Here is a 16,114-nt window from a genome sequence, read left to right on the forward strand (position 1 = left end):
TACAGTGCCTGGCACATAGTAAGCACAGTAGTCCCCACTTATTCATGTGGGATGCATTGCAAGACTCCCAGTGGATGCTTGAAACCATGGATAGTACAGAACCCTAGATATACTATGTTTCTTCCTATACATACATACCCATGATAATATTTAACTTGTAAACTAGGCACAGTTAGATTAATAACAATAGTAATACAATAGAACAACTATAATAATATACTGTCATAAAAGTTATGTGAAATCGGTCTCTGTCTTGAAATATCTTATCATATTATACTCACATTTCTTGAGCCTACATGTTGAGTTGAAAGGAGATGAATGACATAGGCACTGTGATGTAGCTATAGGCTACTATTGACCTTCTGACAACACATCAGAAGGAAAATCATCTGCTTGGGGTGATTCTGGTCCTCAATCCATGTAGATGTCGATAGCTGGATGTCAGGAGCAGACAATGTTGATGACTAATGGGTGAATGGGTAGCATACATATGGATATGCTGAACAAAGGTATGATCTGTGTCCAGGGTGGGATGGAGCAGGACAGTGGGAGATTTCATCATGCCACTCAGACTGGCTTGCAATCTAAGACTTATAAATTGTAGATTTCTGGAATTTTTCATTTATTATTTTTGGACTGCAGTTGACCTCAGGTAACTAAAACCACATAAAGGAGAAACACAGATATGGGGGATCTACTATTTTCAATAAATTATGGCTGTTATTGTCATAATTACTACTGTAATTATTTAAAAACGCTTAAGATATTTTAGATTTGTAATCACTGAGCCCTATTTTCCTGAACCTGTGTAACACATTTCGTTTTTTAGAAATCTGGGTAGAACGTTCATCTTTGTTAACTGTATTTTATGAGAATTAAATTGTCTTATCAAGTAACCCTGTTAAAAGCTTTTAGGATTGTGATTCAGTGTGAAACCACATGTGCTTTCCCTTCCAGATCTCTGTCACCTGTGCATGCGATGAGCTATTCACTATATCTTCAGTCAAGCCACAGATAAAAATGTTGACTGAAGCAAGTTCAAAGTCTGAGGCACATGTGTTGTGCATCACCTGATGTGAGAAAGAAAGGAACTGCTTATAGCCGTGTATACCTGTGTCGTTTGAGAAATGGCAGACTAAGCCATTTTTCATCATTTAATTTTAACCCTCTGGGTCACTACATTTACCTGAAGTGCACTTAACATTATAGAATCTAAGACCATTTGAAAATTGTCATTGGCATTAGTTCTTGTTTTTTTTAAAAAATATAGACTGAATCACAACTCAAACTTGTGAACTCTATTGGTATATCTGAGCAGTATAATTAATGAATTTCAGTTAATTTGTAAAGACTTACTCTGTTCTAGGCCCTAAGCCAGAGCCTGAAGAAGTTCACGGTCTAGTGAAATACACAAATATATATTATATCATCGTATGTATGTTGTCAAGTATTAAAACAGAGGCATTCATGACTGTTTCTAAAGTGTCATAACCAAATTCCTGGCCACATAATTAAAAACATTTTAGAGCTGGCAAATATTTTATAGATTATCAAATCCAATCTTTTAATTATATCCAGAAACTGGCTCAAAAAAGGGAACCAACTTGGCTGGGCACAGTGGCTCACGCCTGTAATCCCAGCACTTTGGGAGGCTGAGGCGGGCAGATCACAAGGTCAGGAGATCGAGACCATCCTGGCTAACACGGTGAAATCCCCTCTCTACTAAAAATACAAAAAAATTAGCCGGGCATGGTGATGGGCGCCTGTAGTCCCAGCTACTCGGGAAGCCGAGGCAGGAAAATGGTGTGAACCCAGGAGGCAGAGCTTGCAATGAGCCGAGATCATGCCACTGCACTCTAGCCTGGTGGACAGAGCAGGACTCAGTCTCGAAAAAAAAAAGAAAAAGAAAGAAAAGGGAACCAACTTGCCCAAGTTCACATAGCTAACTGATGGACAAGAACTCAGATGTTTGAGTGCCTATAGAAATGTCCTTCCCCTATCCTCCACTTGACAATGTCCTCCTGCACCAATAAATATGTACATTTGTTTATATGTAATGGTAGACCATCCTAAGAGTCATCTTTCTGAAGAATCTTATAATCCAGGATTGAAGGTATGGATACAGAATAAATAAGAAATGTGTATCCTATTGAGTCTTTATCCCTGAGTATATCTAAGGAATTAAATGTACATGTTCATGCACAATTAAATTCCCTTACATTCCAATATTAGCTTGTCATTATTTGTTTTTTTCCCCCTCCTCCATGGAATATAGGGAAGTACAATAACACCTTATTAATTAAGGATTAATGCTCATTCGTTTTTAATTAATTCATCCCTCAAATATTTATTGACTTTCCACTATGTGAAAGCTCATTTTGAGACCAGAAAAGTTCCCTGGTCCCCTTTTCAGGGCATGCAATGAGGGTGTGGCTTGCTTCTTCAGTGCCCCACTGCTCAAACCTCTAGGGGAGCATACAGACAGGCAGGCTGTGGAGCTCCCACCCCATGGAAGTGTCTGGAGGTGAATGTTTATAGCTGAGGCCCCAGTGGGCATGGGTTACAGGGTGCTAACTTAGTTTAGCCACCTGTAGGCATCTTGTGTTAACCAGCTCAATTACACCCTCTACATTGTCAGAAAGACAGAGGACTTTCTTTATCCTGGGTTCTTGCCTTGGTGTTCCAGAAGAATCAGATCACACCTGGGCTTGGAGAATAAGTTCAAGGTTTTATTGAGTGGACATAGCTCTCAGCAGATGGGGGAAGCCAGAAGGGGATGGAGTGGGTCAGGCCGCTCAACAGCCTGGGCCCTTCTCCGACTACCCCAGCCAAACTCTGCCTCCTACTGTGTCCGGAATTGGTGGGTTCTTGGTCTCACTGACTTCAAGAATGAAGCCGCAGATCCTCACGGTGAGTGTTACAGTTCTTAAAGATGGTGTGTCCGGAGTTTCTTTCTTCTGGTGGGTTCATGGTCTCGCTGGCTTCAGGAGTGAAGCTGCAGACCTTCACGGTGAGTGTTACAGCTCTTAAAGGCGGTGCAACTGGAGTTGTTCTTTCCTCTCGTCAGGAGTTGTTCGTCCCTCCTGGTGGGTTCATGGTCTCGCTGGCTTCAAGAGTGAAGCTGCAGACCTTCATGGTGAGTGTTACAGCTCACAAAGTTGGCGTGGACACAAAGAGTGAGCAGCAGCAAGATTTATTGCAAAGAGCAAAAGAATAAAGCTTCCACAGCATGGAAGCGGACCTGAGCGGGTTGCCACCGCTAGCTTGGGCAGCCTGCTTTTATTCCCTTATCTGACCCTACCCACATTCTGCTGATTGGCCCATTTTACACAGAGCTGATTGGTCCATTTTGACAGGGTGCTGATTGGTGCATTTACAATCCCTGAGCTAGACACAGAGTGCTGACTGGTGTATTTACAATCCTCTAGCTAGACGTAAAAGTTCTCCAAGTCCCCACTAGATTAGCTAGACACAGAGCATTGATTGGTGTGTTTACAAACCTTGAGCTAGACACAGAGTGCTGATTGGTGTGTCTACAAACCTTGAGCTAGACACAGTGCTGATTGGTGAGTTTACAAACCTTGAGCTAGACAGAGTGCTGATTGGTGCATTTACAATCCTTTAGATAGACATAAAAGTTCTCCAAGTCCACATCAGATTAGCTAGATACAGAGTGCTGATTGGTGCATCCACGAACTCGGAGCTAGACACAGAGTGCTGATTGGTGCATATACAATCCTCCGGCTAGACATAAAAGTTCTCCAAGTCCCCACACAACTCAGGAGCTCAGCTGGTTTCACCTAGTGGATCCTGCGCCAGGACCACGGGCAGAACTGCCCACCAGTCTCCTTGGCTGGTCAATGGGACCGGGTGCCACAGAGCAGGGGGCAGCGCCCATCAGGGAGGCTCAGGCCACGTGGGAGCCCACCGCAGGGTGGTGGTGGGGGTGCCGTGGGCATGGCAGGCTGCAGGTCACGAGCCCTGCCCCATGGGGAGGTGGCTGAGGCCTGGTGAGAATTCCAGAGCGGTGCGGGTGGGCAAGCAGTGCTGGGGGGCCCGATGCCCCCTCCGCAGCTGCTGGCCTGGGTGCTAAGCCCCTCACTACCTGGGCCTGCAGTGCCAGCCGGCCACTCCGAGTGTGGGGCCCCCTGAGCCCGCACCCACCAGGAACTCACGAATGCCCATGAGGGCCGCGCACAGCCCTGGTTCCCGCCTGCGCCTCTCCCTCCCTCCACACCTCCCCTCAAGCAGAGGGAGCCAGCTCCAGCCTCAGCCAGCCCAGAGAGGGGCTCCTACAGTGCAGCAGTGGGCTGAAGTGCTCCTCAAGTGTGGCCAGAGCAGACGCCAAGGCTGAGGAGGTGTGTAGAGCAAGTGAGGGCTGCTCACGTTGTCACCTCTCAGTTCCACCTGTCGATGGGCTGCCTGTGTGCTGGCATCTGTCCTGTGCTCTTCTGCCAGCATGCTCCCCTCAACATCCTCTCGATGTCCATCCACTTGTGTCTTCTTCAGCCGATATGTTCCTCTCAACGTCCAGCCACTTGTGTCTCTGCCTGCTAGGATCTTGGGGTTTTTATAGGCACAGGATGGGGCATGGCAAGCCAGGATGGTCTTGGGAAATGCAGCATTTGGCCAGGAAAACAAAAATGCCTGTCTTCACCTAGATCCGTGGGCACAGGCCCAAGGGTGGAGCCCTAGCCAGGGACTATGCCCTTCCTCACTTCCATATCATTTAAAAGGAGCACTCCCTTCCCTTCTCAGCATTTCCCTTGTCCCCTTTGGCATCACTTTGTAAGATAAGATACAGAGTAACTATGGTAGCAGCCCTAAGGAAGTCCATTTGTCTTGGTAGTACTCTGCTCTTTGTGTTACAATGAAATGTATCATAAAGCCTAATAACACATGAATATTCTGGATACTTACTCTTACAAAGGACACACAGGCTACTGCCACTGTTCTAGGGTATCTGTGCCACAATTAAGTGTTAGTGAAGCAAATATTTATTGGATCTTAGTGTCTGAAAGAAACTGAGATATGTGATTTTCATAATATTTTCTGATTTGGCACTCCCAACTCCTCTGAGAAGTTAATATTCTAATTGCCCACTAGTGATTATAGCTGAAAACCTGAGGTTGCTAATGCTGAGTAATTTATCTCAGGTCATACAAGTAAATGAAGGAGCTAGCATTTGAATGCAAGTCTTTGTGACTTCAAAGCCTATGCTGTTTCCACAGAACTTTCACAATGTTCTGGAATCAAAGGGTGGTGACAACCATCAGTGTCTAAAATGGGTGAGGAAAGCTTGGAAGGAGTGAGTTCGTCACTGACTTCAATAGTTTGCATTTGTTTAAGTTTAACCTGTAATGATAACAGATATTTTTATAAATTGGAATATAAACATGTGCACTTTCCTCGAGTATCTCTAAGTGCAAGATTCTGCACTAAAGCTGTGAAATTCTGCGATTGATCATTTTAAGAAGCTATTATTCACTATTGCTGTTAATGAGAATGATTTTTTACTTCCTTTTCTGAAGCTTCTCTTTCTGTATTTTCAACATGGGCAGTTATACACAAAGTCATTTACTATACATTTTGTTTTGTTTTTTTTTTTCCACTGTGGATGGTTCTGGCACTGAGTTTATCTCCTGTTAAGCACATTTCTTCTTGGCCATGAAGATGAGCCAAATTGCCTTAGCTATTTGGTCTTACCCATGGTGCAACACTTGCCAGAAGTTTCTCCAGGGAAATTATGCAGCTCTAAGCAGCTCCAGATCTTTTAGCCCCAAGTTTCCTCAAAATAACCTGGACATTTTCCACACTCTTCAGTTCCACCTCACTGGTCCCTGGACGAGTTGTGTAAGGTTTTTGAATGACCTTGATCCACCCTAATTTGAAATCGCCACAGGTATCAGAAGGAAAAGCTGACAGGGGATTATTCCCAAGTAGGACAGATCACCTCTAAACTGACACAGGCCCCATAGGAAGGGCTCAATCTTCTGTTTTTCTTACTGGGTGGCTTTTTCACTTATGATGGGGAAAGGAGTTCTGTCGAGAATAGACATCCCCCTGGCTCTTTCTTAGAAGAGTCAGAGATGAAAAAGCAGGAGACAGATTCCTAATCTTTTATTTACTTCCCCAAAAGCGAATTTGCAGTATAGACAGGAGACTAAAATGGCAAGGACTTCAGTTAACAGTGCAGCACCAAGCAGTGGCGATAAAATAATAAATAGGATGCACAGAGTCCTTCACTCCCAAAATCAGTAGTTAAGCACCATTTCAATAAACTTATTTCTCTAAAGTAGTGCACATACCAGGAAAGGGGAAAGGAGTACTAGGGGAGCTGAGAATGGGACTCAAACCCAAACCCACAGAGCTGGGCAAAGTTCTGACTTCAAATACCTAAGTCTACTTGTCCTCAGAGATTATATATTTTATTTTTAATCCAATAGGCATTTATGTAATACTTGCTATATGCCATGCTCTATTATAAGAGCTTTAGAAACATTCAGCCAGGCACAGTGGTTCACGCCTGTAATCCCAGCGCTTTGGGAGACCAAGGTGGGCAGATCACAAGATCAGGAGTTTGAGACCAGCCTGGCCAACATAGTGAAACCCCATCTCTACTAAAAATACAACAAGTTAGCTGGGGGTGGTGGCGGGTGCCTGTAATCCCAGCTACTCGGGAGGCTGAGGCAGGAGAATCACTTGAACCCAGGAGGCAGAGGTTGCAGCCAGCCGAGATGGCGCCACTGCACACCAGCCAGGGTGATAGTGTGAGACTCTGTCTCAAAAAAAAAAATTCATTTAATCTTCATATTAAACCTATGAAATAGATACTATCATCCCTGGTCCCATTATATGGATGAGGAAACTGAGGCACAGGTAATTTGAGTAACCTGCTCAAGGTCACACAACTAGGAAGTGGCAGAGCTGGGTTTTGAACCCAGATGCCATGCTCTTATTCCTAAAATAGGAATCTATCAATAAATCCTTTAAAAGGAAAAGTTCCTATAACCTGGTCAGGGGTGGCATGGGAAAGGAAGACTTGGAAAGACTATTTGCATTCTGCAGTGCTGAAGAAGTACAAGAGGAGGGCATCACTCATTCTCTGGTCTTGGTCTGTAGGAAAATGAGGACCCCAAGAAACTGCTGGAGCCACAAATATGGCCTCGGCCATGTGGTGCAAAAGCCTGTGTGGGCTCCTGCCAAGACACCAAAATAGCTTATTCATATTGAAATTTTAGTCTAATCCAGGCCCATGATAGACCTTGGATAGTGCCAATTTCTAAAGAAGAGAACATGTAAATAGTCCTTTCCCATCTTAAAAGTAATTTTTGCAGATAGTAGCTTCTCCTGCCACACTTCTCCTCTACATGCAGAGAGAGGATCGATGACAAAGACCCCTCTATGACAGAGAAGTCCCAAACTACCCTCACACTGCCAGCCTTTCAGAGGAAATGAGAGAGAGAGCAGCTGGTCAAACCAGAGACAGAATATCGTTTTTGTTACCTACCTTCCCTAATCCAAAAATAGCTAGATCCCCCAGTAGCCAGGAAACTTGAAGAAAAGAGACAGGAAAAGAGGTAAACGCGTCAATTTCATGAACTAGAAAACACTAAAAATTCGGGCAAGGATTACCACACTGAAATAAAACCTCCATGGCCCTTCAATCACCAAACCATCTCTACAGCAGACTGCCCTTTCAAATATTTATTTTGTATTTTTCTTTCATTTTCCTCGCCCCCATTACCCAGAAAATGGAAATAGGTGAAATACTACTTGCATGACCTTGAAAAAGTATCCCACACTCTTTGCATCTCAGTCTCCTTATCTGTAAAATGTGAATAATCTGACCCCACAGGGTAGCGCTAACTGATGGAAGCACCTGGCACAGGGCCTGTTTCATAAGGAATGCTCAATATAGGCTTCTCCTTCTTCTTTTATTATTTATTTTTTTAGGCAGAGTCTTGCTCCGTCACCATGTTGGAGTGTAATGGCGCAATCTCAGCTCACTGCAACCTCCATCTCCCGGGTTCAAGTGATTCTCCAGCCTCAGCCTCCCGAGTAGCTGGGACTACAGGGGCATGCCACCACGCCCAGCTAACTTTTTTGTATTTTTAGTGGAGACGGGGTTTCACAATGTTGGCCAGGATAGTCTCGATCTCTTGACCTCGTTACCCACCCACCTTGGCCTACCAAAGTGCTGGAATTACAGGCATGAGCCACCACACCCAGCTGGCTTCTCCTTTTTATTAACAAAAGCAGCTTTTGAGCACTTGCTTATCTTCCTAGTTAGCTTTGTGATCTTGCATATGTCATTTTAACTTAGCTGAACCTTCATTGCCATCCATAAAAATCAGTGCAAAGAAATGAAAGGATTTATCATTTTGACAACCAGAATTTCTATGAGGAAGGAGGCTGTGTTTGTATTTAAAAAAAAAAAAAAAAACACTTTGATGATTTCTGGTGTTAGCTAATCGGCATCATGGCTTCCAACAAGAGGGACAAAATGCTCTCTATGGGACAACTAAACTGGAAATAGAGAAATAAAGAAAATACCTGATGAGAGAAGAGCGGGAGGAGGGACAAAAAAAGACAGCCTAATGGGGTTAAAGGTTTGTGAAGCTCTGCAGTGGTGGGGTAGCTGAGGATGTTGTAAGAGCAAGGTTTCTTACTATTGTGTTTAAAGTTGTTTACGTTGCTTGGACTTAAAGCTTTCTCTGTTTCACCACTACATCTTACAGATAGTCTAATAAGGATATTTGTTAGGAATGTTAAACTTAAGGAATTTGAAGAACCTGAGTTCCAAGTGTAGGTCAACAAAGATGACCCAGGACAGAGCAGGTGCCCAGACATGTAGGTGGTCATGAAAGCAGAACCTTGGATACATCCAGAGAAGTCCTGGCTGTCTGCAGGCCCAGGCAGATGAGAAGGGAATCTGAAGCCCATGTTACCTAGATTTTTCAGAGGCAAGGAAGATTTCAGCTGAGAGTACAGTTACCGGAGGATAATCATATGAACTTAGCAGGTAAATGACTTCACATCCATCTCAAGTTATATGGCCTTATAAGTGTTCTCCCTCTCTCTATTCCCTCTTTCCATTCTTTGTTTCTTGTGGTCTTTATATCTTGCTTTTAATAAAAATGCTGTAGTTTTACGTTGGAGTGCATATTTCTATGCCGTAGTCCAACCCACATTATTCCAAAGGGGAAATATTAGCTTGTCTATTCCAACTGCAGTATCTTTCAATCTCCAGAAAGCATATATGTTTTTTTCTTTTAAACCACATCATCCAGTGAATATTCATCTATGTAAAAGTGATTCATTATCACCTTTCATTTTTACTATCCACTATCTTATTGTTCATTACTATCTAGAGGCTGGTTTCTCACTTTTGTCCTTGGATTTGCAATTTTTATTGCTGCTGCAGACTACTTTTCATATCTCCTTTTACAGTTTCTGTGTTTCTCCATAACCATCCCTCTGTGTTCCATGATCAAGTAAAGTGGCAGTCACTAAATTATTGGGAATTCTCTATAGCTTCCCATCATTGGTGATGTTGGACCATACAGTCTGCTCACTCTTTTCGGTGAGCCATATATTGAAAAAGATATATGGGTATTAACACTTCAGTGTCTGGCAGATTTAGAGATCAACTTCCTGTTTATTATCAACTATTATCTGTGTTGATTTTGTAATTCTCTTTTTCTTTCTCTCTCTAGTTCTATACAATTGTGTTGCTTAGTTTCCTGTGCCATTGCAAAGCTGTTTCTTCGTCTCGATTGTCAATACCTAGATTTCAGGTCCTCTGCAAACCTCTTTTCTTTCATTTAATAAACTCATTTGGTTAGTTCCCACTATACAAGAAAACAAATTTCAGGCACCCTGGAATTTCTCATGGACTCTTCTCTAAAATACTCACCTTGGGCCGGGCACGGTGGCTCACGCCTGTAATCCCAGCATTTTGGGAGGCCAAGGCAGGCGGATCATGAGGTCAGGAGATCGAGACCATCCTGGCTAACATGGTGAAACCTCATCTCTACTAAAAGTACAAAAAATTAGCTGGGCGTGGTGTTGGGCACCTGTAGTCCCAGCTACTCGGGAGGCTGAGGCAGGAGAATGGCGTGAACCCAGGAGGCGGCACATGCAGTGAGCCCAGAATGCGCCACTGCACCCCAGCCTGAGCAACAGTGTAAGACTCTGTCTCAAAAATAATAATAATAATAAAATAAAATAAAAAATAAAATAAAATACTCACCTTGGCCAAATTCTCTGCCACCAGTCCCTACTTTTCCCCCACCCTACATCAAAGTTGTAAATAGTTGATTAATGATACTCTTCAATTTGGGAACATTATCAGTTATTATCACTGGTCCACAAAAGGTCCTTCCCTTATTTCATATATTTATGTATTTTCTCTTTTCACAATGTGTTATTCCCACTTGTTTGCATGTTCATACAGTCGTTTCTGCTATAATGCTTGTTATGCAACTGTGAATTTGTTTCCATGCCGTTGACAGAGCAAACAATTTGAGTATAATGTAAAATTTATGTTGTGTGGAATTCTGTCCAGGAGAAACACTAGGTGAATTCAGAAAACTGTACTCCAGTGACTGGAGCACCAAAGAAACATAAACATACCAAAAGCATACGTATACACACTCCTCAAATGTGTACTAGCTACCTCAATTCCCTGTCTGTGTTAGGAGCCATACAAATAAACATCTGGCACTACAACCGAATGAAAGTTTTCATATGTACATATTGTAACATGTATGTACTTTAACCACTTAACGTATATAATTGTGCTGCAGTTTTTATTAGATTTCAAACTTTTTAATGTCACTGGAAAATATTTTTTGTTCCCCAAACACATTGTTCTCACAAGCACAGTGTTTTCTACTTCATGCTTTTGCATACCAATGTGATTTTTAGAAAAGAATAAGTTGCTTTATGAAGAAATGACTATTGGTTTATACACACATATATATAATTTATAAAAGTTAAATTATGTATAAATGTCATTCTGTTTCCTGCTGGGTTTTTTTTAATCTAAGTACTATGCTTTCGGATCCTTCAATGTTGTTATTTATGGTTTCTAACCACTACAAATCACTCTTCTATATTTTACCCATCTACTCTCCCATGGGTAGACACCCACTCAAGTCATTTTCAAATTTCTCCTACTAAATAACATTAAAATAAAATTTAAAAAAAACCTGTGCAAACCTTCTTCTGGCTCTACATAACAACTTTCTTTAGAATAAATACTCAGAAGCGGAATTGCCAGATCATAAAGTAAGAAAACCTTTACTTTTCCTAAAGAGTGCCAGCATGTTCTCGAAAAGGTATATGCTATCAAAATACCAATAATATTCTTCCCAGCAGTAAAAAAAAAGTATTAAAATTTCTATAAAACCACAAAGGACCCCAAATAACCAAAACAATAGTGAGCAAAAAGAACAAAACTAAAGGCATCAGATTGCCTGACTTCAAAATATACTACAAAGCTATAGTAACCCAAACTACATGATACTGGTATGAAAACAGATACATAGACCAAATAAATGGAATAGGGAGTCCAGAAATAAATTCATGTATTTACAGCCAACTGTAAATACAATTTTGACAAAGGCACCAAGGACATACACTTGGGAAAAGGCACCCTCATTAATAAATGGTGCTGGGAATACTAGATATCCATATGTAGAAGAATGAAACTAGACCCCTATCTCTCACCATATACAAAAGTCAACTCAAGATGGATTAAAACTTAAACATAAGACCTGAAACTATAAAATTACTAGAGGAAAACGGAGGGGAAATGGTCTAGAACTTTGGTCTAGGCAGAGATTTTATGGCCCAGCCTTCAAAAGCACAAGCAACAAAACCAAGAAAAGACAAATGGAACTATACCAAACTAAAAACAGCTTCTACACAACAAAGGAAACAATCAACAGTGTTAAGATACAATCTGTAGAATGGAAAAAAAAAGTTTGCAAAGTATTCCTCCAACAAGGTACTAATATCTAGACTATACAAGGAACACAAACAACTCAACAGCAAAAAAAAAAGTCACTTAAAAACGGGCAAAGGATCTGAATAGAAACTTCTCAAAAGAAGACACGCAAATAGCCAGCAGGTATATGAAAAATGTTCAAATTCACTGATCATCAAGAAAATGCAAATCAAAACCACAATTGAATATCATCTCACTGCATTTAGAATAGCTATTATCAAAAAGACAAAAAATAAAAGCTGGCAAGGAAGCAAAGAAAAGGAAACTCTTACACACTGTTAGTGGGAATGTGGATTCATACATCCATTATGAAAAATACTATGGAGCTTTCTTAAAAAACTAAAATTAAAACTACCATATGATCCAGTAATCCTACTACTAAGTATTTATCCAAAGGGAAATCAGTGTATCAAAGGGACATCTGCACCCCCATGTTTACTGCAGCACTATTCACAATAGCCAATATATGGAACCACCCTAAGTGTCCAACAATGGATAAATAAGAAAATGTGTTATAGATACACAACGGAATACTATCCAGTTATTTAAAAAGAACAAAATCCTGTCATTTGCAGCAATGTGGTTAGAAGTGGAGCTCAATAATTTAAGCGGAATAAGCCAGACAAAGACAAGTATCATATGTTCCTACTTATATGTGGGAGCTAAGAAAGTTGACCTCAGGCCGGCACCCTGGCTCACACCTGTAACCCCAACACTTTGGGAGGCCAAGGCGGGTGGATCACCTGAGGTTAGGAGTTTGAGACTAGCCTGGCCAACATGGCGAAACCCTGTCTCTACTAAAAATTAAAAATTTAGCTGGGTATGGTGGCACGTGCCTGTAATCCCAGCTACTTGGGAGGCTGAGGCAGGACAATCTCTCGAACCTGGGAGGCAGAGGTTGTGGTGAGCCGAGATCATGCCACTGCACTCCAGCATGAGCAACAGAGTGAGACTCCATCTCAGAAAAAAAAAAAAAAAAAAAAAAGAACATTGATCTCATGGAGATAGAGAGTAAAATGACAGTTACTAGAGCCTGGGAAGTAGTAGAGGTGAAGAGAGATTGCTTAATGGATAAAAACATACAATTACATAGAAGGAATGAGTCTAGTGTTCAGTAGTACAGTAGGATGGCCACAGTTAACAGTAATTTATTGTATATTTCCAAATAGCTGGAAGATCTGAAATGTTCTCAGTATTAAAAATGATAAACATTTGAGGCAAAGGATATCCTAACTACTCTGATTTAATAATTATATATTGTATGCAAGTATCAAAATATCACATATACTCCATAAATATGTACAATTATTATGTTTTGATAAAAAATAAGGCACCTGCTAGTCTAACAATGCAAAAGCATGCTTTTATCTCCAGCTTTACCCAACACTCAAGGTTCTTAGCATTCTAATTTTTGCCACCTAATGTACATTCCCCTCTGCCATTTCTTCCTGTTTTCATATCCAGTTTCACATCACCTGTGATTCTTTTGACTCTGCCTTACTCCTGAGGCTCAGTCCACAGTGATATTTCTTCAGCTCTGACATTCACATTTTTTTTCTGCATGTTCCACACCCATCCTATGGCTATACTATATTCCTCAATAAATATCCCATCAGTTCTATCAAGCCCCAGATGCCTGTCCACTCATTCAGCATAGACTCTCATATCTAATTCTGCCATCTTATTTATTCTTTCTGCTCTAAGCAAAACTTGGATACCACCACATGCCTGTCCAAGCTCCCTGGACTTTCCTAACTATTTAATATAAGTATAAATAATTCCCTTCTTCCACAAAACCTGACACACATTCATTACTTTTACTCCCCCTTGTTTCTTTATTAATAGTATTTGTTCACATATTTCTTTTACTAAGTGGATTCTGAGCTATTTGAGGGTACGGCATTTGTCTTGGATTTCATCTTTATTTCTTCCACATTTAGTAGGCTCTCAAAAACTCTCCCCTGAGTGACTGAATGAGCAAACATGAGTAAATCAAATGTTATTTTGTATCAAGTGCCCTTAAGTAATCAAAGTTTGCAACACCCAATATATTAGTCACAATTTAAAACTCTTTATTAACATAGAACAAAAAATAAGATGAGATAATTTTTAATTAAAAAACTGTATCTTAAAACCAATTCATGAAGGAGATTGATTGTTTGTCGCCTTTTTATTCTAAGAAAGTGATGTTTTATTAATTAGCCTCTCTGGTCTATGACCCTTTGCTATAGTTATCATTCTGCATATCAGTAAAGCTGGGATTTGCTAAAATGAAATATAATTGATAATCAACTCAGAAGCTAATTCTCATATCATTCTCAAGTGAATTCCATTTGACTCGATTTATCCTTTTCTTCCTCAGATTCTCTGAGATAACTTTATTAAATATTAATATAGAAGTGAGGAAGGATTATGACTATGCATTATATGTTACCCTAAAAGCGTCTGTGTAATTGGGGGCAGGGTGCTAAAACTCGGACTGTCCTGGTTTTAGCGCTAAACGTCCTGTATCCCAGAAATCTCTTCAGTCCTACGAAAATTGATGGTCATCTTAAGTCTCAATGCTCTTCATTTATTGCAGTTTCCTAAGCAGGCATTCAAGATCTCCTCTGCTTTAACTGTGACTTTCTTTTCTGTTATATTTTCAGCAGCTCTTCTTGTAATCTACTTTCTAGGCAAACTGAACCATAGTCTGATCTTTACACATGCAGTGGTTCCCTTGCCTGATGTAGTACAAGCTCAAATTATATGGATTTGGATAAAATGTTATTTTTCCCACCACATATATTCTTCTACCTATAGATGTGTCCTGCTACGAGTTTGGCTTACTTTGCTAATCTGTTCTGCCTTGCATGACAGTATCTTACATATGGGTTATCACTTTGTTTTAAAGAAGAAAGTGATATTAAACATGTAATTGCAAAATGTTAGTTCAGGCTCTGCTCATGTTTGTGTTATATCATTTATTTTACATATAAATAAATGTCCAAGTAAATGCACTGAGGCCATTCATGCATGAGTTTACATTCTATTTCTTCCTTTTGCTGTCTTGGATGAGTCACCTAACTCAGGGGCATGAATTTCTCCATCTTTGAAATGGACATAAAACATTTTGCTTATAGACATATTAAACAGCTTAACATATGTCGTATATCAGCAAACTTTTCTGTAAAGGGACGGATAGTAAATATTTTTGACTTTGTCACCTATATTATTTGACTAAAAAATATTCAATATCCCTAGTAGTGTAAAAGTAGCAATAGATAATACATAAGCAAAGGAGGTTAGTTTGTTGCAATATATTTTTATTTACAAAAAACAGCCTGTGGGACAGATTTGGCTTATGACCACAGTTTGTCAATTCCTGATGTACATTAAGTACTTAATAAGTAAGAACCACTACTATCAGGACCTAATGTGTCTTTCCTTACTGAGTGTTTTGATTCTGTAATCCTAGTACAAATTAAGCCGAAACTAATCTAACATTTGGCAATCATATTTGGAGGTTTAATTTACGTTCCTCCCATAAGTTCTCCCATACAAATAGTACAGGAAAATTATATGAGCCAATATAGTGAATCTATTCCTGGCAGGGCTAGGATGCTGAAGTTTGAGAATTTTAATATCTCATTCTCTTTTTCCTGCTTAATTGTAATGAGTGAAGCCCCTAATATTTTAACTTCTACCTTATCTAGTATCTAAAATAATTATAATCTAGTCATGAAGCATGCTACAGACTCTAAGTGGGTCCGAAATTAAGAAGTCCCCATAAACTCACTGTCCTGAGGCAAAGCCTGAGAACTCAAGTCTTTCAAGACTTTCTCTAAGATACACTAATTTCTCTAAGATATACTAATTTCTCCAAAATTCACTGTCTTTGTGTTTTGATTATCTCTATAGCTTGCCAGGTAATTTCACAGATTCCAATAATCCAGGAGATTTCCCTTTTGGCTGTGAGTTAGAATCACCTGGAAAGATTTAAGAAAGGAATTTTTCTTAAATCAGCCTCAAAAAGCAGTGACCATAACAAAAGGACAAAGTAGACTTTAGCAAAATTGAAAACTTCTTTCATTAAAAGATATTATGAATAAAATGAAT

This window comes from Homo sapiens, chromosome 11 (assembly GCF_000001405.40).
Source record: "Homo sapiens chromosome 11, GRCh38.p14 Primary Assembly".
NCBI lineage: Eukaryota > Metazoa > Chordata > Mammalia > Primates > Hominidae > Homo > Homo sapiens.